Source organism: Homo sapiens, chromosome 15 (assembly GCF_000001405.40).
Source record: "Homo sapiens chromosome 15, GRCh38.p14 Primary Assembly".
Lineage (NCBI taxonomy): Eukaryota > Metazoa > Chordata > Mammalia > Primates > Hominidae > Homo > Homo sapiens.
The window spans coordinates 37,490,349-37,491,505 of record NC_000015.10 but is presented as its reverse complement, the minus strand read 5'-3'; the positions used below and the strand labels follow the sequence as shown (position 1 = coordinate 37,491,505).

At 45.9% G+C, this 1,157-nt stretch overlaps 1 pseudogene; it reads right to left on the bottom strand.

Moving 5' to 3' along the window:
- On the bottom strand, positions 367 to 828 carry RPS15P8 (ribosomal protein S15 pseudogene 8; annotated as a pseudogene).

Sequence of the window (1,157 nt, the reverse complement as noted above, 5' to 3'; positions counted from 1 at the left end):
AGGCAAGGATCTTCGCTTGCCTTACTCATTAATAAAAATTCCAAGAGTCTAGGACGGTGCTTTGCACATGAAATAAGTGGAATAGATAGTTGACAAATAAATGCCCCCAAAACAAACAAAAGAAATTAAAAATCCGAGGTTAGGAATTAATTCTTAAAATGCTAATGAGCATTAATGGTAACTATGGAGATGCAGCTGCATAAAAATGTGCCCCCTGCTTCTAACTACTCCTCATCACCTTGGGTTTTCATCCCAATTCACACCTTTAAACCGGCTTGATCAAAACCAACAATAACTTCTACCTTGGAAAATTCTTATCTCCCTGATCTTTCAGAAGCTTTTTTTTTTTTTTTTTTTTGAGATAGATGTGCCTTTATTAGCTAAGCCACTACTTGAGGAGGATGAAGAAGGGGTGGCCCCAATGCGGGGCCAGCAGTGCTTCACGGGCTTGTAGGTGATGGACAACTCGCCCAGGTAGTGGCCGATCATCTCCGGCTTGATCTCCACCTGGCTGAAGGTTTTGCCGTTGTAGACGCCCACCATGCTGCCCATCATCTCAGGCAAGATGATCATGTCCTACAGGTGCGTCTTCACCACTTCCGGCTTCTCCATGGGCGGTACCTCCTTCTTGGCCTTGCGCAGGCGCTTCAGCGGCGAGTGCTGTTTCCGCCCCAGACCCGGTTCAAACGCTGCTGCCGACGCGCACTGTATAGCTGCATAAGCTGCTCGTAGGGCACGTCCAGCATCTGGTCCAGGCCCACACCGCGGTAAGTGAACTTGCGGAAGGTCCGCTTCTTCTGCTCTACGTCTGTCATCTTGCCGCAGAAGCATTTTAAACGGTCATCCACGTCCCTTCTCTTGAAACTTTATACTGTGAATTATAGGTTATGATACGCTCCTGTTTACTCTCTAACTTGAGTCTCCTTGCTTGGCTCTTTCCCCTCTGTTCAGCCTGTGTATATTGGAAAGACCTAGGACTCTGTTCTGGGCAATCTTTTTTTTTTTTTTTTTTCCTATTGAGTGATCCTTTCCGCACTTGCAATTCCATCTATGTGGTTATTACTGCTAAATGTGTGTTTTCAGCCTTGACCAGACTGCCATATTCGTATATACAGCTGTATACTTGACATCAGCATTTAGGTGTCTAACAGGCAGCT